The 21,931-nt window shown below is 33.8% G+C and overlaps 1 protein-coding gene across 6 annotated transcripts in view; it reads right to left on the bottom strand.

The window, feature by feature from the left end:
* ACSS3 (acyl-CoA synthetase short chain family member 3) overlaps window positions 1–21,931 on the bottom strand; it is a 183,340-nt gene that overhangs the window by 69,191 nt on the left and 92,218 nt on the right. For all 6 annotated transcript variants that reach the window (XR_944720.4, XM_047429549.1, NM_001330243.2 and 3 more), the window contains one exon: window positions 17,081–17,232. Coding sequence is in view for 5 of the 6 variants with exons in the window: in XM_047429549.1 (XP_047285505.1) it covers window positions 17,081–17,232 (152 nt within the window). In the remaining variant the exon portion in view is untranslated. The remainder of the gene's footprint in view (window positions 1–17,080; window positions 17,233–21,931) is intronic.

The raw sequence follows: 21,931 nt of genomic DNA, 5'->3' as shown, positions 1-21,931 counted from the left end.
TAGAAAGACACACATAAAATCAGTTATTTTTGCTACAGACTTAAATATAACTCGGATGAATATGTTCAGGAAATATACGTAGAATATTAGCAGAGAACTGGAAATTATAATAAAGAATCAAATGAAAATATTTAAACTGAAAAATGTTTAGGAATTATAAACTCAATGAAAGTTTAGATACAACTAGAGGTTACAATAAAATCATCTAACTGCAACTGTGAAAAAAAAGCAGAAAAATCATCAAACAGAGCCTGTGAAATATAGGTGATATGGTAAAAAGTTCTAACATATGTGTCATTAAAGTATCAAAGTTTAAGAAGGGAAAATAAAGTAGAAGTATTTGAAGAGATGGAAAAGTTCTGAAAATAAGTGAAAGATACCAAGCCACAGATTTAAGAAGCAGTCTGCATCACAGGAAATTGAATTCATAACTTAAAAACCTTCCCATAATGTCACTTCTGGCCCAGAGAGTTTTATTTGATTTTTAAATACTTCAAAACATTTAAATAAAATTAATTGTACATAAAATCTTCTAGATAATAGCGGGGAAAAAGACTTCCATGCCCATTTTATGAGACGAGCAAAACCCTGAAACCAAAACCAGTAAGAGTATAAGAAAGGAAAATTAGAGATCAATCTTGACTAAAAATCTAGATTTTAAAGGAATCTCCAAAAATAGAAAGGAAGAGGGGGATAACAGGTGGAGCATAGAAGATTTTTAGGGCAGGTAAAACCATGCTATAATGATGGATACATGTCACAATACTTAAACTTCATAGAATGTTCAATACCAAGAATGAAAATATATTTAAATTATGGATTCTGGATGATAATGAAGTATCAATATAGGTTCATCAATTTTAAAGGAGATACAGCCATAATGTGAGATGTTCATAGTAGGGGAGGCTGTGCATGTATGAAAACATAAGTTATATAGAAGCTCTGAACTTTCCACAAGATTTTGCTGTGATCTAAAATTGCTCTAAAAACAAGGTCTACCAAAAAAAAAATCTTCAACAAAATGTCAGCAAATTAAATTCAGCTATATTTAAAAAGCATAATATATTAACCAAGATGTATTTATTTCAAGATTGTAAGAATTATTTGACACTTAAAAAAATCAGTCACTATAATTCACCACATTAACTCCTAATACAATAAGAGGGGGAAAAGTCACATGGTCATCAGAAGATGAAGAAAAAACATAGATAAAATCCCAAACACCAAAAATAGAAACTTTGTTAATTTGATAGCTTTTCTCCAAACAAATAATACATTAATAACAAAAAACGCTAAAATCATTTTCCTTAATAATGAATATTGAAAGCTTTCTTCCTGATAATCTGGATGAGACAAAAATGAGCTTTACCACCAATTCTATTAAATACTTTACTGGAGGATCCTAGGAATAAAGTAAGAAAAAGAAATAAACGGCATAAAAGAAGAAATAAAATTGATACTTTTCTCAAACTACATGACTCTGTACATAATACAATCATACATATATACATTAAAACTACTACAATTAGTAAGTGACCTAGGGAAGAGCTTCAGAAAGTAGGTCATTATACAAAAACAGTTACATGTTGTTATATCAGGACCAAACAATGCAAATGTAAACAATACCATTGACCATAGCATAAAAATAAAATTTCTTAAATATAAAAAGATATGCAAGATTTTCACACAGTAAGCCAAAAATCATTAATGAGTGAAATTAAAGTCCTAAATAAACAAAGAGATATACTTGTTAACATGGACTTTTTCACTGTATCAATCTGTAAACTCAATGTAAAGTCTCTCTCTCTATCTCTATGTTTTTGTGTTTGAAACTGCTAGGCTGATACTAAAATCTGTTCAGAAATAAAACGAGCCAAGAATATTCAAAACAAATTTGAAAAAGAATAAGCTTGATATATTAATAGTAGATAAAGATCTGTTATAAATCTATAATGATAAAGACAATGTAAGAGTAATGTGAATACAAACAAGTAGGCTGATGGAACAGAATAGAATCAAGAAGCAAATGAGGTATTTGTAGGCACTGTCATGACAAAAGTGTTGCTGCACAGCAGTGAGAAAAGGACGGCCATTTAAATAAATCGAAATTGATCAAATGGATATACATAAGGAAAAAAATAAAACTCAGCGCCTTACTTCATGTCATACATACAAATCTATTCCAGGTAGATTATAGTTGTAAGTATGAAAGGTAAAATGAACAATAAAATTTCTAGAAAATGAAATACAGGAAAAACACCTATGTCTTAAATAAGACTTGAAAAGCAGTAATCAAAAAGAAAACTATTGATAAGAAGGCACATCTTTTTATCAGAAGTCACCACTGTGATGGTAAAAGGAAAATTTAAGTCAGAAGTTGGAGAAGATTGTTTATAATACATATAAGTCAGTAAAGGACTTGGATCCAAAATAAAGTATGAAAAACTCCTACAAATTAACAAGAAAGAGAAAATAAAATTTGCAAAAGACTTGAATAAGCATGTTATAAAAGAGGACCTTCCAATGGCCAAAAAATTATTAAAAGGTGATCAACCTCATTCAACCTCATTAACAACTTTGACATGAAAATTAAATGATAATGAGATATCACTACATGACAATCAGAATGGCTAGAATTTAAAATACTGAAAATATCATGTTCTGGTGAAGACATGGAAACTCTAGAACAATCACACACTGCAAGTGAGTGTGTAAATTGGTGAATAACCTTGGAAAACTGTTTGACATACTCTGTAATGTAACCATTATACCTTAGTTATATATGCTCAACAGCACTATATGTGTATGGACACCAAAAAGACATGTATTATTAATGCTGCAACTGCATAAGAGTCAAAAAATTAGAAACAATCAAAAAAGAATTCAACTGCTGATCTGATAGAGAATAGAATGGTGGTTGCCAGCAGCCAGGGTGGTTGGAGGGGGAGAGGGTAGTTGGGAGGTATTGGCCAAAGGCTACAATATTTCAGTTAAATAGGGGGAATAACTCCAAGATGATTTGGGAATAACATGATGACTAAAGTTAATATATTCTTTTTGAAAAATGCTAGGAGAATAAATGTAAAGTGTTCTCACCACAAAAATGGTAACTTTGTGAGGTAATGTATGTGTTAATTAGCTAGGTTTAGTCCTTCCACAGTGTATCTATACTTTGGAATTGAACATCATGTTGTACGGAGTAAATGTATGACTGTATCTGCCAACTTAAAAAATAAAAGTAAAAATTATTTCAACAGCAAAATAGGTAAATAAACTGAAATACTCATAAAGAGTGATCTAACCAGCAATCAAAATGCAAGAACCACTTTGACGCGCAAACTTATGGATGAAGCTCAAGGCATTAAGTAAATGAAAGAAGCCAGGTATCAAAGAATACATTCTGTATGATTCCATTTATATCAAGTTCAAAAAAACAAGCAAAACTAATATACAGTGATACAGGTCAGGATAAGGCATATTTTTGGGAAGCCAAGAAGAGATAATGGTTGGGAAAGGACAAAAGGGAGGGCTTCTGCGATGCAGGATATGTGCTATTTCTTGATCTGGATGTGTTCAATGGATATGTTCACTTTGTAATAATTATAACTTTTAAAATTCTGATTTATGTTCTTTTCTGTATATATACCTCAATAAAAGTTAAAATATAAATGTATGCATAGTTCCCTATTAAATTACTTCTACTTCATATGAAATATTTTTTAAAGTAATGACATAAACTTGAAACCATAAATATTATTTTGATATAATATATGAAAATTCTCATATTCCTAAGGCTAGATCAGTTTCATTATTTACTAACCTATCAGAGATATATATCATCTTTAAATTTTAAGGTTTGTTCAATAACAACACTTTTCAATATCTTTTATCAAGCATATCACAGAAGAGATACTCTGAATATCTCTAAATTCAAAAAAATACTAAATAAAAAAGTATAAGTTTTTTTAGCCAGTGAATATAATTTACTTCCCTTTAGAGGTATCCTATTCTCAAATTTGCTTAGCAATAATGTCATCCTTCTAATTTGCTTTCCTGCTTTCTACATCATTAGAGGATTTAAAATCATTCCAGATTTGGGCACATTCATATTTATGTAGCCTCAGGCTTACCTGCGTAACCTTGAGTCATACATACACAAATAAGATAGCAACCATTTCTCTGCTATCAGCCTCAACTTGCTTTCTCAATTTAATAAAAAACTTCCTCCTAAACTAAAATTTTTATTCTAAGCACCAGAGGGATAAAAATATACTCAAACAACCCTTGTTGCTTTAAAATATAGGAAACAGATAGAGGTAATGCTTTTTTAACTTGTATAAACTATAATTTTTTTTATTTTTTCACAAAACGGGTTTATATTATTTACTTGTCTGATTTGACAACTGTTGTGGTAATTGGTAGCTATATGAAAAAAATGATTTAGTAATAATGAGAGCTGGATATTTGAAATGCTGATATGCAACTCCACCACAAACTCAAAGACAGCCAGACATACAGGCATTGTCATTTTATCATTCTAACCGGAGTATTAGCTCTGAATATGAGCTCATATTTGTGCAGTAGATAAGACATAGGTATCTCTAAGAGCTTTTAGAAATAAATATTGGTAACTTTATGAAGAAATTAAGTTTTTGCTTGTACATTTTCTTGTTTAATTTTAATAATGGTGGTTGCTAAAGTTGGAAAGTTATATGTTGTACACTAGATCTCTAGACTTGTTCATCCTACATACCTGCTGCTTTGTATCCTCTGACCTGTTCATCTGAATATCTGTTCATTTCCCCTTTCTTCCAATCCTGGTAACCATGGTTTTCTTCTGTATATCTGTATTTTTGATTTTTTTTTGTTGTTGTTTTAAAATTTAACATATAAATGAGATGATGTAATATTTTTCTGTGTCTGACCTATTTAACAACGTAGTGTCTCCAGCTTCATCTATGTTGTGGCAACTGGCAAAATCTCATTCTTTTTTAGAACGAAATGGTATTCCATTGCATATATGTACCACAGTTTCTTTATCCATTTGTTTATCAACAGACACAGGTTGTTTCTATCCCTTTGCTATTGTGAATGATGCCACAATGAACATGGGAATGCAAATATGTTCATGAGGTGGTGACTTCATTTCCTTTGAGTATATACCCAGAAGACGGATTGCTGGATCATATGGTAGTTCTATTTTTAATTTCTTTAGAAACCTCCATACTGTTTTCTAAAATGGCTGTAACAATCTACATTCTCAAGAACAGAGTACAAGAGTTTCCTTTACTCTACACATTTGTCAACATTTGTTATCTTTTGCTTTTTGATAATAGCCATCTAATGGATATGAGGTGATATCCCATAGTGGTTTTCATTTGCATTACCCTGATAATTAATGATGTTGAACACCTTTCCATATGCATGCTGGCTATTTTTATGCCTTCTTTGGAGAAATGTGTTTCCAGGTATTTTGCCCATTTTTTGATCAGGTTATTAGTTTTTCCACGATTGAACTGTATGAGTTCTTTATAAAATTTTGGATATTAACCCTTTATCAGATATATGAGTTGTGAATATCTTTCCCACTTCATAGGCAGCTGTTTCATTTTGTTAGCTGTTTCCTTTGCTGTGCAGAGCTTGTTAGTTTCATGTAATTCCATTTATTCATTTTTGCTTTTGTGGCCTGAGCATTTGATATGAAATACAGAAAACCATTGCCAAGTCCAACAGCCAGAAACATTTCCCCCATGTTCTCTTCTAGAAGTTTTATTATTTCTGGTCTTATACTTAGGTCTTTTATCCATTTTGAGTTGATTTTTGTGTATAATGTAGGTTAAGGATCCAATTTCCTTCTTTTATATGTGGAAACCCAGTTTTACCAACACCATTTATTAAAGTGACTATTTTTCCCTATTGTGTCTTCCTGGTGTGCTTGTCAAGACTTAGTTGACCATATACGTTTGGATCTATTTCTGGGGTCTCTGTCCTGTGCCACACTGATCTATGTTTATGTTTTTATGCCAGTAAGCTACTGTTTTGATTACTATAGCTTTGTAATATACTTCTAAATCAGGAAGTGTGATGCCTCCAACTTTGTTGTTCTTTCTCAGAATAGCTATGCCTACTTGGGGTCTTTTACATTTTCATACAAATTTTAGGATAATTTTACTATTTCTGTGAAGTATGCCATTGGGATTTTGATAGGGATTGCATTGAATCTGTGTATTGCTCTTGATAGTATGGATATTTTAATAATATTAAATCCTCCAATCCATGAGCAATGGGCTATCTTTCCACTTATTTGTGTTTTCTTCAATTTCTTTCATCAATATTTTATAGTTTTAATGTAAAGTTTTACCGTACCAATATAGTTTTCCACCTCCTTGGTTAAAATTATTCCAAAGTATTTTATTTTATCTTTTCAATGTTATTGTATGTGGGGTTTTTCTTTATTTCTTTTCAGTTAGATCATTATTTGTGTAGAAAAATGCCACTGATTTTTGTATGCTGATTTTGTATTCTGCAATTTAGTGATTTCATTTATTAGTAATAACGTTTTTGTGGTATCTTTGGAGGTTTTTGCATATAGGACAACATCATCTGCAAATAGAGATAATTTTACTTCTTTTTCAATTAGATACATTTAATTTCTTTTTCTTGTCTGATTGTTCTTGCTAGTACTCCAGTATTATGTTGAATAGAAGTGGCATGAGTAGGCATCCTTGCCTTACCAGATCTTAGTGGAAGTTTTCAGTTCTCTCCAGTGATTATAATGTTAGCTGTAGGTTTTTCATAAAGTCTTTATTATTATAAACGTTCCTTCTATACCTAAACTGTTGAAGGTTTTTATCAAGAAAGGATGTTGGATTTTGTTGAATGCTTTTTTTATGTTAATTATGATGATCCTGTTAATGTGATGTATCACACTGATAGATTTATGTACGTTAAATCAGTTTTGCATGCCATGGAAAAATCTCACATGAACACAATGTATAATCTTTTCATGTGTTGTTGGATTTGTTTTGATAATACTTTACTAAGAATTTTTGCATGAATGTTCCTCAGAGAAATTAACCATAGTTTTCTTGTGATATCTTTATCTAACTTAGGTGTTAAGATGATGCTGGCCCCATAAAATGTGTCTGGAAGTACACTTCTAGCTTTATTTTTCAGAAGAGTTTTAGAAATATTGATATAAATTATTTTTGAATGTTTGGTAAAATTCAGCTCTAAAATCATCTGGTTTTGGGCTTTTCTTTGTGGGAAGGGTTTTGATTACTTCTCAAATCACTTTAATTGACTTAATATTGGTAGCTTATATTTTTCTAGGAATTTATCCATTTTCTCTAGTTTATCCAATTTGTTGGCATATAATTCTTCGTAATATTCCCTTACGATCCTCTTTATTTTGAGAAGCCTGTTAGAATTTCTTCACTTTTATTTTTGATTTTATTTATTTCAGTCTTTTCTCTTCTTTTCATTAAGAGTTTGTAAATTTTGTTGTTCTTCAAAAAGTGAACTTTAGTTTTATTAATTATTTTTATGGTTTTTCTGTACTTCATTTGATTTACTGCTGTTCTGATATTTATTATTCCCATCAGCTAATTTTTGGTTAGTTGTTTATTCGTTTTGCATTCCTTGAGGGGTAATGTTAGAATATTTATTTGGGGTCTTTCTTCTTTCTAATTGTAGGCATTTACTGCTATAAACTTTCCTCCTGGAACTGCTTTTGCTGCATCCCATAAGTTTTGGTATACTGTGTTTCCATTATCATTTGCCTGAAGATGTTTTTAAATTGTTCTTTTGATTTCTTCTTTGACCCATTGATTGTTCAAGAGCATGTTGTTTAATTTCCACATATTTGTGAACTACACAAGATTACTCCAGTTATTAACTTATAGTTTCATATCATTGTGGTCTAAAATTATACTAAATATTATTTCAATCTTATTAAGTTTGTTAGGGCTTTTTTTGTGGCCTAACATGCAATCTATCCTGGAGAATGTTCTGTGTACACTAGAGGAAAATAAGTACTCTGCTTCTGTTGGAAGGGAAGTTCTGTATATGTCTGTTAGGGCAATTTTGTCAAAAGTTCAATTTATGTCCAGTATCACCTTATTAATTTTCTGTCTGCTTGATCTATTCATTGTTGAAAGTGGGATTTTGAAGTACCATATTGTATTGCTATCTATTTGTCTTTTCATGTTCATTGATATTTGCTTTATATATTTAGCTCATCCAATACTGGGTGTATAAATATTTACAGTGGTTGAGTTATCTTAATGAATGACCCTTTTATTATTAAAAAATGACCTGTGTCTCTTGTGACAGCTTTTGATTTGAAGTCTATTTTATCAGATGTAAGTATAACCACTCCTGCTCTCTTATGGATGGCATTTACATGGATGTTCCCCTTCCATCTTTTTACTTTCAGCCTTCATGTGTCCTTAAGGCCTAAGTGGGTCACTTCAGTGAATCTTGTTTAATCCATTCAGCAACTACATGATTTTGGTTAGGGAACAAAATCCATTTACAGTCAAAGTTATTATTAATAGGTAAGAACTTACTACTGCCATTTTATTTATCTTCTAGTTATTTTGTAGCTTCTGTGTTCCTTTTTCCTTTCTTGTTGTCTACCTTTGTTATTTGATAATTTCTGTAGTGCTAAGCTTTGATTCCTTTCTCTTTATCATTTGTGTATCTGTTGTAGATTTTTGTTTTGTGGTTGCCATGAGGTTTACATAAAACATCTTGTAACCAGCAAAGGCTCCGGCTGTTTGCCGCTTGTAGAAAGAAACCAAAATCACAAAACAAAGTGTGATAAAAAGAGAGGAGTTTTAATTGTCTGTGCTAACACGGGGAAAAGTGGGTGGAATTCTTCCAAAATAATTTCCACTTTTCCCCTTGCCAGCATGGATAATAAAGTCTCCTCTCTTTTTATCACACCTCACTCTTGTTATTTTGGCTTCTTTCTACAAGCAGTGAGCAGCTGGACCCTTTGCCAGTTAAAATTTTTGGTGGTCTGTATGGGGAGAGAATTCTGGAGGTGTCTGTTCTGTGTCAGTATTCATGTCCTGAAGCTTCTAAGAAAATACATGACCAGATAAGTGAGCATGATGTGCATTTGACAAGCATTTAGGTAAATAAATGTGCATAAGGCATGGTTGGATAAAGTGGAAAGGGAAAGAGAATGGAGGTTCACAGTACGTTCTAGAAAATGCATTTGTAGTTTGTCTCAATGCTGTGTCCTGAGACTGGGGAGAGAAGAGGAAAGAAAGAAAAACAGTTTTTAAAATGCAGTTTGAAGCTAAGCAGCTTGGTTACAATCTTACAGATATACTTTTTTAAGCTGATAAAAACTCAACTTCTGTTGCATACAAAATCTCTAGATTTTTATGCTCCTCCTGATACACAATTTGTTTTTGATGTCAAAATATGCATCTTTTTACATTGTGTGCTTCTAACCAATGTATTGGCTATTATTAATGAATTAATTGATTTCTACCTTCATACTAGGTGTAGGTATGATTTATGCACCACCATTACCTCTAGAAGAAAGTTTTATACTTTTGTATGTATTCATGTTAGTAATAATCATCCCTTTGTTTCTCCTTGAAGGACTTCCTTAATTGTTTCTTATAAGGCAGGTCTAATGATAATGGATTCCTTCAGCTTTTGTTTATTTTTGAAACACTTTATTTATCCTTCTTTCCTGAAGGACAGCATGTCTGGCTAGCAGTTTTGTGTTTGTTTTATTCTTATTCCTTTCAGCACCATGCCATTTTCCCCTGGCCTGTAAGGCTTCTACTGAGAAATCTGCTAATGTTCTATGGAAATTCCCTTATATGTAATTTGATGCTTTTCTCTGTTGCTTTTAAAATTCTCTCTGTATATGACTTTTGATAATACGATTATAATGTGCCTCTTTAGATTAATCTATTTTGGGATCTGTGCGCTTTAGGGATCTGAATATCCATATCTCTCCCAAGACTTAGTTTTCAGAATTTTTCATAATTTATTTCATTAAATAAGCTGTTAGTCCCTTTCTCTGTCTCTTCCCTTCTTAAAGAACATAATGCAATACTTCTTCACTTAATGACGTCCCATAAATCTCATAGGCTGTCTTCACCCCTTTTCATTCTTTTTTTATTTTTTCCTGTGAATGAGTCATTTCAAAAGACTGATTTTCAAGAAGTTCACAGATTCTTTTTTGGCTTTATCTAGTCTACTATTGTAGCTCTCTATTGCTTTTTTTTTTTTTTTTTTTTTGCTTAATTGATTGAAATCTTTGGCTTCAAGATTTCTGATTCTTTTTTATGATATATATTTCTTTGTTGAATTTGTCATTGAGATCATGAATTACTTTGCTGATTTCATTGAATTTTCTATTTGTATACTATTTTGTCTCTCTTGGTTTTCTTAAGATCATTAATTTAAATTCCTTTTCAATAACTTCATAAATTTCTGTAAATTTGGGGGTCAGATACTGGGAAATTCTCATGTTCCCTTGGTGGCATCATGTTCCCTTGCATTTTCATGTTTCTGGTATTCCCACATTAATGCTTGCGCATCTTCTGGTACAGTCTCCTCTTCCAAACTTCAGAGAATGACTTTCATAGGGAAAAACTTTCACCTGACGACAGGCTGGAGGGCATCGGTTGGGCAGAGTGCAGTTGTTCTGGTACTAGGTGGGTGCAGTGGTGTAGTCTCCATACAGCTTCTCCAGGTGAGATCAGTGTTAGTGATGACTGCAGATGCCTTAGTGACCTGGCTGCATGATTTTGTGGCAGTGATATTGATTGTGTAGGCTATTATGATAAGGGCTTTAGAGATCCTACTGTTCTTGTCTTTCTAACACTGGGAAGTCTTAGCTGAAGAGGCCTTTGTTGATATTGGTTCTGACATGGTTCACAGGCAGTCACAGTGACACTGGGATTCAGGGCATAATATCTATTTTAATTCCCTTGGGCCACAGAAACATAAAAGTAAAATACTCTGGCATTTCACTTATACAATATAAGCAGCCTTAATTCAAGCCCACTTTTTGACTTCAGTAAACTATAAATCTCTTCTTTTAGTTATAGGATAGTAAACTAATTCAAAGAGGTTCAATGAGATTGATGTTGGCATTCTCCTTGAAGATGCAACTTGCTATAATTATCTTTGATTATGCATCAGATTAAATAAAAATGTAGGTCCATGACCTGGCGCAGTGGCTCATTCTTGTAATCCCAGCACTTTGGGAGGCTGAGGCAGGCAGATAACCAAAGGTCAGGAGTTTGAGACCAGCCTGGCCAACATAGTGAAACCCTGTCTCTGCTAATAATACAAAAATTAGCCAGGCGTGGTGGCAGGCACCTGTAATTCCAGCTACTTGGGAGGCTGAGGCAGGAGAATCGCTTGAACCTGGGAGGCAAATGTTGCAATGAGCCAAGATCATGCCACTGCACTCCAGCCTGGGCAACAGAGTGAGACTCTGTCTCGATTTAAAAATATAGACAGACAGATAGATACATAGATAGATACATAGATGGATAGATAGATATAGATATATCCATAAGCCAGCAGAAAAATACCTAGACTATTCAAAGCACATTATTACAAAACAAAAATAAAATATTTTTCTTCACTTTGTTTTATCCAACTTGTATCTTAGGTTCAGGGGTCACATGTGCAGATTTGTTACATGGGTAAATTGTGTGTTGTGGTGTTTGGTGTACAGATTATCAAGTAATCCAGGTAACGAGCATAGTACCTGAGAAGTAGTATTTTGATCCTGATCCTCCACACTCTACCCCTTGTGTCTATTGTTCCCTTCTTTGTGTCCATGCATACTCAATGTTTAGCTCACACTTAGAAGAGTAAACATGCAGTATTTGGTTTTCTGTTCCTGCATTAATTTGCTTAGGATAATGGTCTACACCTCTATCCATATTGCCATGAAGGCCATGATACTCTTTTTATGGCTGTGTAGTATTCTATGGTGTATATGTACCAAATGTTCTTTATCCAGTCCACCACTGATGGGCATTTAGCTTGATCACATGTCTTTGCCAAGTTTCCTGAGGCCTTCTCAGAAGCTGAGCAGATGACAGCATCATGCTTCCTTTACAGCCTGCAAAACCATGAGCCAATTAAACGTCTTCTCTTTATAAATGACCTAGTCTCAGGTATTTCTTTATACAATGTGAGAATGGACTAATGCAACGTCCTTTGCCCTTTTTTTTTTTTTTTTTTTGAGACGGAGTCTCGCTCTGTCACCCAGGCTGGAGTGCTGGAGTGCAGTGGCGCGATCTCAGCTCACTGCAAGCTCCACCTCCCGGGTTCACGCCATTCTCCTGCCTCAGCCTCTCCGAGTAGCTGGGATTACAGGCACCCACCACCACGCCTGGCTAATTTTTTATATTTTCAGTAGAGATGGGGTTTCACTGGGGTCTCGATCTCCTGACCTTGTGATCTGCCCACCTCGGCCTCCCAAAGTGCTGGGATTACAAGCGTGAGCCCATTTCTTAATGGGGTTGTTTGGTTTTTGTTTGTTGAATTGTTTAAGCTCCTTATATATTCCAGATATTAGATCTTTCTCTGACGCGTAGTTGGCAGATATTGTCTCCCATACTCTACGTTGTCTGTTTACTCTGTTGATAGTTTCTTTTGCTGTCCTGAAGCTTTTTAGTTTAATTGCACTTGTCAGTTTCTGGGTTTTTTTTGTGTTTTTTTTTTCTTTTTCTTTTTTTTTTTTTTTTTTGGCAATTACTTTTGGAGTCTTCATCATGAAATCTTTGCCAGGGCCTATGTCCAGAATGCTATTTTGTATAAATTCTTCTAGGATTTTTATAGTTTTAGGTTTTATATTTAAGTCTTTTATTCATGATGAGTTGATTTTTGTATGTGGTGAAAGGAAGGGGTCTGGTTTTAACCTTACGCATATGGCTAGCCAGTTATCCTAGCTCCATTTATTGAATGGAGTCCTTTCTCAATTGCTTGTTATTGTTAAGTTTGTCAAAGATTAGATGGTGGTACATCTGTAGCTTTATTTCTGGGTTCTCTAACCTGTTCCTCTGGTCTATGTGTCTGTTTCAGAGGCAGTACTATGCCATTTTAGTTAATGTAGCCTTGTAATATAGTTTGAAGTCAGGTAGTATAATGCCTCTGGCTTCGTTCTTTTTGTTTCAAATTGCTTTGGCTATTTGAGCTCTTTTTGGTTCCATATGAATTGTAGAATAGTTTTTTTCTACTTCTGTGAAAAGTGTCATTGGTAACTTGATAAGAATATCATTTAATCTGTAAATTGCTTTAGACAGTATGACCATTTTTACAATATTGATTCTTCCTAATCATGAGCATGGAATGCTTTTCCATTCATTTGTGTCATCACTAATTTCTATCAGTAGTGTTCTGTAATTCCAATTGTAGAGATTTTTCACCTACCTGTAGGTGTATTCCTAGGTATTTTATTCTTTTCATTGCTAATGTGAATGGGATGGCATTTTTTATTTGGCTCTCAGCTTGGATATAATTGGTGTATAGAAATGTTTTTTTTTATTTTATTATTATTATACTTTAAGTTTTAGGGTACATGTGCACAATATGCAGGTTAGTTACATATGTATACATGTGCCATGCTGGTGTGCTGGACCCATTAACTCGTCATTTAGCATTAGGTATATCTCCTAATGCTATCCCTGCCCCCTCCCCCCATCCCACAACAGTCCCCAGAGTGTGATGTTCCCCTTCCTGTGTCCATGTGTTCTCATTGTTCAATTCCCACCTATGAGTGAGAACATGCGGTGTTTGGTTTTTTGTCCTTGAGATAGTTTACTAAGAATGATGATTTCCAATTTCATCCATGTCCCTACAAAGGACATGAACTCATCATTTTTTATGGCTGCATAGTATTCCATGGTGTATATGTGCCACATTTTCTTAATCCAGTCTATCATTATTGGACATTTGGGTTGGTTCCAAGTCTTTGCTACTGTGAATAGTGCTGCAGTAAACATATGTGTGCATGTGTCTTTATAGCAGCATGATTTATAGTCCTTTGGGTATATACCCAGTAATGGGATGGCTGGGTCAAATGGTATTTCAAGTTCTAGATCCCTGAGGAATCGCCACACTGACTTTCATAATGGTTGAACTAGTTTACAGTCCCACCAACAGTGTAAAAGTGTTCCTATTTCTCCACATCCTCTCCAGCACCTGTTGTTTCCTGACTTTTTAATGATTGCCATTCTAACTGGTGTGAGATGGTATCTCACTGTGGTTTTGATTTCCATTTCTCTGATGGCCAGTGATGGTGAGCATTTTTTCATGTGTTTTTTGGCTGCATAAATGTCTTCTTTGGAGATGTGTCTGTTCATGTCCTTCGCCCACTTTTTGATGGGGTTGTTGGTTTTTTTCTTGTAAATTTGTTTGAGTTCATTGTAGATTCTGGATATTAGCCCTTTGTCAGATGAGTAGGTTGTGAAAATTTTCTCCCATTTTGTGGGTTGCCTGTTCACTGTGATGGTAGTTTCTTTTGCTGTGCAGAGGCTCTTGATTTTGGATCTTGAAACTTTACTGAAGTTGTTTATCAGATCTAGGAGCTTTTGGGCAGAGACTATAGGGTTTTCTAAGTATAGAATCATATTATCTGCAAAGAGAGATAGTTTGACTTCCTCTTTTCCTTCTGGATGCCTTTTATTTTTTTCTCTTGACTGATTACTTTGTCAAGGACTTCCAGAACTATGTTGAATAGGAGTGGTGACAGTGCACATCCTTGTTTTGTTGTGGTTTACAAAGGGAATCCATCCAGCTTTTCCCTGTTCAGTATATTGTTGGCTGTAGATTTGTTATAGATGAGCCTTATTATTTTGAGGTATGTTCTTTTGATGCCTTGTTTGGGGTTTTAAAATGAAGGGATACTAAATTTTATTTATGTCATTTTCTGCATCTATTGAGATAATCACACAGCTTTTGTTTTTAGTTATTTTTATGTGATGACTCATATTTTGTGATTTGCATATGTTGAACCAACCTTGCATTCCAGGAGTAAAGCCTACTTGATCATGGTGGATTAGCTTTTTGATGTGCTGCTCGTTCCAGTTTGCTGGTATTTTGTTGAGAATTTTTGCATCTATGTTCATTAGGAATACTGGCCTAAAGTTCTTTTTTCATTGCATCTCTGCCAGAGTTTGGTATCAGAATGATGCTTGCCTTATAGAATGAGTTAGGAAGGAATCCCTCCCCCTCAACTTTTTGAAATAGTTTCAGTAGGTTTGGTACCAGCTCTTCTTTATGTTGGTAGAATTCATCTGTGAATTCATCTCGTCCAGGGCTTTTTCTGGTTGGTAGGTTTTTTTTATTACTGATTCATTTTCAGAACTCCTTATTGGTTCATTAAGGGTTTCAATTTCTTCTGGGCTCAATTTTTTTTTTATTTTTGTATTACTATTATTATTTTTTGTAATGGAGTCTCATTCTGTTGTCAGGCTGAAGTGCAGTGGCGTGATCTTGGCTCACTGCAACCTCCACCTCCTGGGTTCAAGCAATTCTCCTGCCTCAGCCTCCCAAGTAGGTGGGACTACAGGTCAGGCCCACACCACCACACCTGGCTAATTTTTGTATTTTTAATAGAGATGGGGTTTCATCATGTTGGCCAGGATGGTCTCGACTGCGTGATCCACCTGCCTCGGCCTTCCAGTGTGCTGGGATTACAGGCATGAGACACAGCACCCAGCCTCTTGGTTCAATCTCAAGAGATTGTATGTTTTCAGAAATTTATCCATTTCTTCTAGGTTTTCTACTTTGTGTGCATAGAGGTATTTGTAATTGTCTCAGGATTTTTTACATTTCTGTTGAATCAATGCTAATGTTCCCTTTGTCATTTCTGATTATGTTTATTTGGATCTTCTCTCTTTTTTAAATAGTCTAGCTAGTGGCCTATCAAGATTTTTATTCTTTAAAAACTCAACTTTTGGTTTTATTGATCTTTCATATGGTTTTTTAGCATCTAAATTTTTTTCAGTTCAGATCTAATTTGGTTGATTTCTTTTGTCTGCTAGCTTTGGGAATGGTCCGCTCTGGTTTTTCTAGTTCCTCGGGGTGTGACATTACATTGTTAATTTGAGATTTTTCTAACTTTTTTATGGGCATGTAGTTCTATAAAGTTTCCTCTTATCACTACATTAGTTATGACCCAGAGAATCTGGTATATTGTACATTTGTTTTCATTCAGTTCAAAGGATTTCTTGATTTCTACCTTAATTTCATTGTTTACCCAAAAGTCACCCAGGAGCAGATTGTTTAATTTCCATGTAATTGTATGATTTTCAGAGAGCTTCTTGATATTAATCTCTATTTTTATTTCATTGTGGTCTGAGAGTGTCACTGGTATGTTTTTTTAATTTGTTGAGAATTGCTTTATGGCTGAGCACATGGTAGATTTTAGAGTATTTCTCATACGCAGATAAGAAGAATGAATATTCTGTTGTTGTTGGGTGGAGTGTTCTGTGGATGTCTGTCAGGTCCATTTGATTGAGTGTGGAGTCCCAAATATCTTTGTTAGTTTTCTGCCTCAATCATCTATTGAATACTGTCAGTGTGGTCCTGATGTCTCCCACTATTATTCTGTGTTTACCTAAGTCTCTTTGTTCTTCACTTTTTTAATATATTTAATTTGGACTATAATTTTTCACATTTTATCTGTATACATGCATTCAAATATTGCCCCTTCATTTAACCCATTCTTCTATTTTCAAAAGGCAGATGTTAGTACATCTGTATCCATCTATCTGTGCATTTTAAGTCAGAATTGGCATTTTACCTTTTAAGGAAAATATAACAAGAGTGATTTTAAAAAGAAATATTTTCATAATATTTGAACTGAAATTAACATGATATAATATTTTAAAATCTCTAAGCAGAGTTAAAATTCCAACTATTTCAAAATTATATTTAGACAAGTTGTTCTTAATAACACTCTGAATCTTTTGGCTCTTCCTATAAGAGTATTCCAGTACCAGAAAAAAAATAATGTTCACTTATTCATTTTGATTGCACTTTCTAATGTCATTTGCCCTGTGCATCCCAACGTCACCTTGTCAGAGAGTACTGCTTCCCCAAAGCTGCCCCAGGGTCCTGTTGACGGATTGCTCTAATTGCAGTTGGTGCTGTAAACAAGGCAGCTACTCCATGCTCTGCAAGCACACGGAAATAAGCGCCAGCATCTGGTGTTCCCACAGGCTTCCCCTACAATGAGATTCATTTAAAATGTCACTGGATAAAATGTGTCATATTTCACTGACAGTTCAATAGTTATACATTTAACACAACAATATTAATAATAAGGGGTTTTCAACAAATCTTAGTTTTAAAATATTTCCATGTTCTATCACAAATAAAGCAAACCAAATACCCAGGCATAACAGAGACTGTTTGCTCCATTTTAGTATCCTAAAACCTTTCAAATTACAATTTTTTCTTCATCAAGTTTTGAAAAATAAAGAATTAAAAATACATACCACATTCAAATTAAGAATATAAAACATTCTTGTATTTGCCAAAAAAAACTATATATGGTTGTTATGAATTTTGAACTTTAATGTATTTTTCATGATCACTATTAAAAATGACAACAGTATTTCTCAAAACATTTGAGAAAAAAGAAAAATCTGAAAAAGCAGTGATTCCTGAGCAATGACCTTTTCAGTTAAATGTCTCACTCCAAGAAAAGTAACTCCTATGAATTAAAAATAATCCAATAAGATGTGCCAAAGTGCATGTTTTCCACAGACTCAAAATAACATTGTATATGTTCAATGGAAAATCATGCATAAAAATCTCACAATTTGGCAAGCCATACAATTCAAAAGACAAAGAAAGGTTTAGTTGATGTTTCTGAAAAGTGGAAAATAGGCAAGTTACTGAAATAAGTCAGTAACTCTCCAAACATTCTAACTAACCCATAAAACCTATCTTGGCCAAGCCACATCCCCTTCTTCCATAATCAGTCCTCATCACTGCTACCTCTTCCTGTGTTTCTAAAGCAAGATGCCTGCAATGTTAATAAATGTCTTGGATATATATATATATATCCAAAATCCGTTTGTGGAAGTTGGAGGCAAACAAATGGCAACAGGGTGTTTTAATCTTAGATCATTTCTTGAAACCTTAAAAGGGTTAAGATGTATTACTAATTTCTACGAGAAGGGTAACTGTATCTAATATTTCCAAAACCTCTGTGATTAAATTCTCGATCTCTGTTTCCCATGAAACTCTGTAAATGACATGTAGGAAACACTGAACTAAGGTAAAAAGAGCAAAGGATTTGCTAGTAGCAAACTCAACAATGTCCCCAAATAGGGAACAACAAAAAAATGATGATATCATGACAGTTAGACCTATTAATTTTTTCTTAATTTAGAAAAAGGAATGGACTATAAATGAGGTATAAGATAGTTGTCCAATAATTTAGATTCAATACTCATTGATTAGATCATTGATAGGACACTATTTTTTTATTATTTTTAAATGGTTTTCTTTAATATTATTTAGTGTAATTATGTTCCTCTTTTCTTAAAAAAAACTATTTCAATCTGTTTTATGTTCTATTGCTTTCTATTTTGCTCTTTTAATACCAAGAAAGTATTTCCTGCAGCTGAAAATTCATTTTTATTATCACAACTGTTTAGTCTAAAGCACTATTTCAAATTATTTCATTACTCTTCATACAAATCAACACATGCAAATAATACAAAAAGCTGCAAAATACAGCCTGGCAACACATGTACATAATTTCACTCACAAATTTTGAAGGCTTTAGTACATCAGTCTGAAATGAGTCTACAACTTTATTCTTTCTAACAAACAAGGTAAACATTTTATTTTTACTTTTTTGATATGTCTCAGGCACTGATCAGTTCCTTGAGTATGACACTGTGCCTTAGAAAACGTGATCTCACCCAAGTGAAAATGATTTATTAATTGACCTTGTGCAACTGACTTACCCTGTCTATGCTTCCATTTACTTGCCTGCTAAATAAGAATAAATCATTTTGCCAATATTTTCTCAATAAGCTAAAGGCACTGAGATAATAATGTAGGATAATTTAACCTCCACTGAAGAAAGATATTTTATAGCCAACTGAAATTGAATTCTACGACAGTGCCAGTGTCATGAGAAAATAATTACTCATTAAAGGGTGATATTAATATCATAATTAAAATGATATACCATGTAAGACCACCTACAAGGAGGACACAGTATTTTACAGTGCCTCCAATTTCTTATGTTTAATGATATTAAATGCAGATCAAATATTGAAAATACAGTCCTATACCATATAGCAATGTTTTAGATAATTATGACACCATATTTTTTTGCTTTGTTTTGGTGGTTTTTGAGGCAGTGTCTTGCTCTGTTGTGGAGGCTGGAGTGCAGTGGTGCAATCTTGGCTTACTACAACCTCGACCTCCTGGGTTGAAGCAATTCTCCTGCCTCAGCCTCCCGAGTAGCTGGGACTACAGGTGCACGCCAGAAAGACACAGGTGCATGCCCGAAATACTACAGCGGATGAGACAGCCCCTAAAGAATTAAGGATTCCAGGGACAGAACAACTGTGCTGGGATGTGCTCATACAGCAGGCACACATCAGTGTAAACTTGCTGTGATAGGCAAAATTTTGTCTGCTCTTTTAAAAGAGCGAGTGTCTTAGCAGTCCATTGTTACACTAAAAAAAAGGGCATGGATCACCAGGGCCTTTTTTTTTTTTTTTTTTGAGACAGAGCCTCACTCTCAGGCTGGAGTGCAGTGGCAGGATCTTGGCTCACTGCAACCTCTGCCTCCCGGATTCAAGGGATTCTCCTGCCTCAGCTTCCCGAGTACCTGAGATTACAGAACCTGCCACCATGCCCAGCTAGTTTTTGTCTTTTTAGTAGAGACTGGGTTTCACCATGTTAGCCAGGCTGGTCTTGAACTTCTGACCTCAGGCAATCCGCCTGCCTTCGGCCTCTCAAAGTGCTGGGATTACAGGCGTGATACCATAGTTTTACTGCGCTTTTTCTATATTTAGATATATTTAGCTATACAAATACCACTGTGTTACAATTGCTTGCAGTATTCAACACAATAACATGTTGTACAGGTTTGTAGCCTTGGAGCAATAGACTATACCATGTAGCCCTGCTATGTAGTAGGCTATACCACTAGGTTTGTGTAAGTATACTCTATGATGTACACAAAGTGATAAAATCTCCTAAGGATACATTTCTCAGAACATATCTCCATTGTTAAGTAATATATGACTGTATTAGTAAAAAAACTACATCATACTTTTTATAATATAGGATTTTAACTTCTATTGCAAGTCTGACTCTGTACCAAACTAATTTTCGTCAATATTATACTTATGGATTATAAAAATCATGATAATGTAGCATTACTATTAGAATAGTAAAGAAGCGATTCATAAAATCCCACAATGTTCTTTCATAAGTTAATTGAACATAGAAAAAGTTCAATTGCTTTGTGTTTTATTGTCCATTCCCCAGAAGATAATTCAATGTTATGAATAAAATGTTTTCCTATTTAAAATTAACTTAATATTTATATACTTTAGTTTTTTCTTTCTTAAGACCTTCTATTCAATGTCAAATTCAATTAAAACAATTATGAAATTAAGGAAATTACCTGTTTCAAAAATAGTCTGATGATTAACATATATATTAAGCCCTGAATAATGTAAACACTTCAGGTAATATAATGCAGCATAGAACAAGATCTTTCATCAGAAACTGTTGTTTACATACAAACAAATAATAAAGTGAGCAACACTGGTATATTTATTTATTTAATAAATATTCTGGGAACGATTTTGTGAATAAGCCGGATAAGGTCCTGCTTTAATGGAACATACATTCTCATGTGTATGGGATAATATTATTAGAAATTGCATAATATATGCTGCAAGCTATTTGTGTCCAATAAACAGAAAGAATGCAGTAATAAACAGAGGACTTATATGTTCTCAGTACCTACCACCACTAGTAGCTTCAGAAAGCTGAAGCAAAGCCTGTAAGAATCTTTTATTATTAACAGTAAATAAAAGTGGCTCAATGGCTTATTTATTTTATTTAAAATTCTCTCCTGCCTTCATGCACACGCACACACACATAGACAAGCATGCACACATAAGCAATAAAATCTCTTCACAATGCTTTTTAAAGGTAGCCAGTAACACACTAAGCATACTGAACTGCCTAAAGAAAAAGACGTTGATTCTAGAACTTGGTTTTCATTAAGGGGAAATAACCCAGACAATATTCAATTTAGAAATAAGAAGATTCTAAGAATGCAGGGATTTTAAACAAACAACATACACACCAAAAGCAATAATGCAGCCAAAAATACCAACTTTAAAGCTCCTCAAACTCAAATCAATGTGGTTACCAGTTGTTTATTTAATTCCTTTCTCCCAAACTAAGTCTACATTATTAGTTGCTTCCTAGATAATAAAGGCAGAAAGGGATGTCTACAATGATGAAGCCAAAATTCTAAGCTTTCAGCTGTTAGAAACTATAAAATTTAACCTCAGAGATTTATAAAACATCAATTGCTAATATTAGCAAGATTTATAATGTGGCTAACAATGGTACAAAGCACAGAAACCAAAACAGTTACCAAAATGCCTTAATGTTAACATCCATATATACTTTTCTACCAGTTATGATTCATTGTATTAATATGTATTGTAGATGACAAGGCCCCAGTCAGAAAACCAGTTACTGTCTTCTCACATATTTGCTACTGAGGTTAAGTTTTCAACACAGGAAAGCAGTGAAATACAACCACTTAGCAAAATAAAATTATAATTAAACACTAGAGTTAAATCTTTGGGCAAAAAAATTTGCTTTATTATTAATCCTATGATTAATCCTATGATTCCATTTC

The sequence above is a fragment of the Homo sapiens genome, chromosome 12 (genome assembly GCF_000001405.40).
Source record: "Homo sapiens chromosome 12, GRCh38.p14 Primary Assembly".
Lineage (NCBI taxonomy): Eukaryota > Metazoa > Chordata > Mammalia > Primates > Hominidae > Homo > Homo sapiens.
This window is presented reverse-complemented; position numbering and strand designations above follow the sequence as displayed.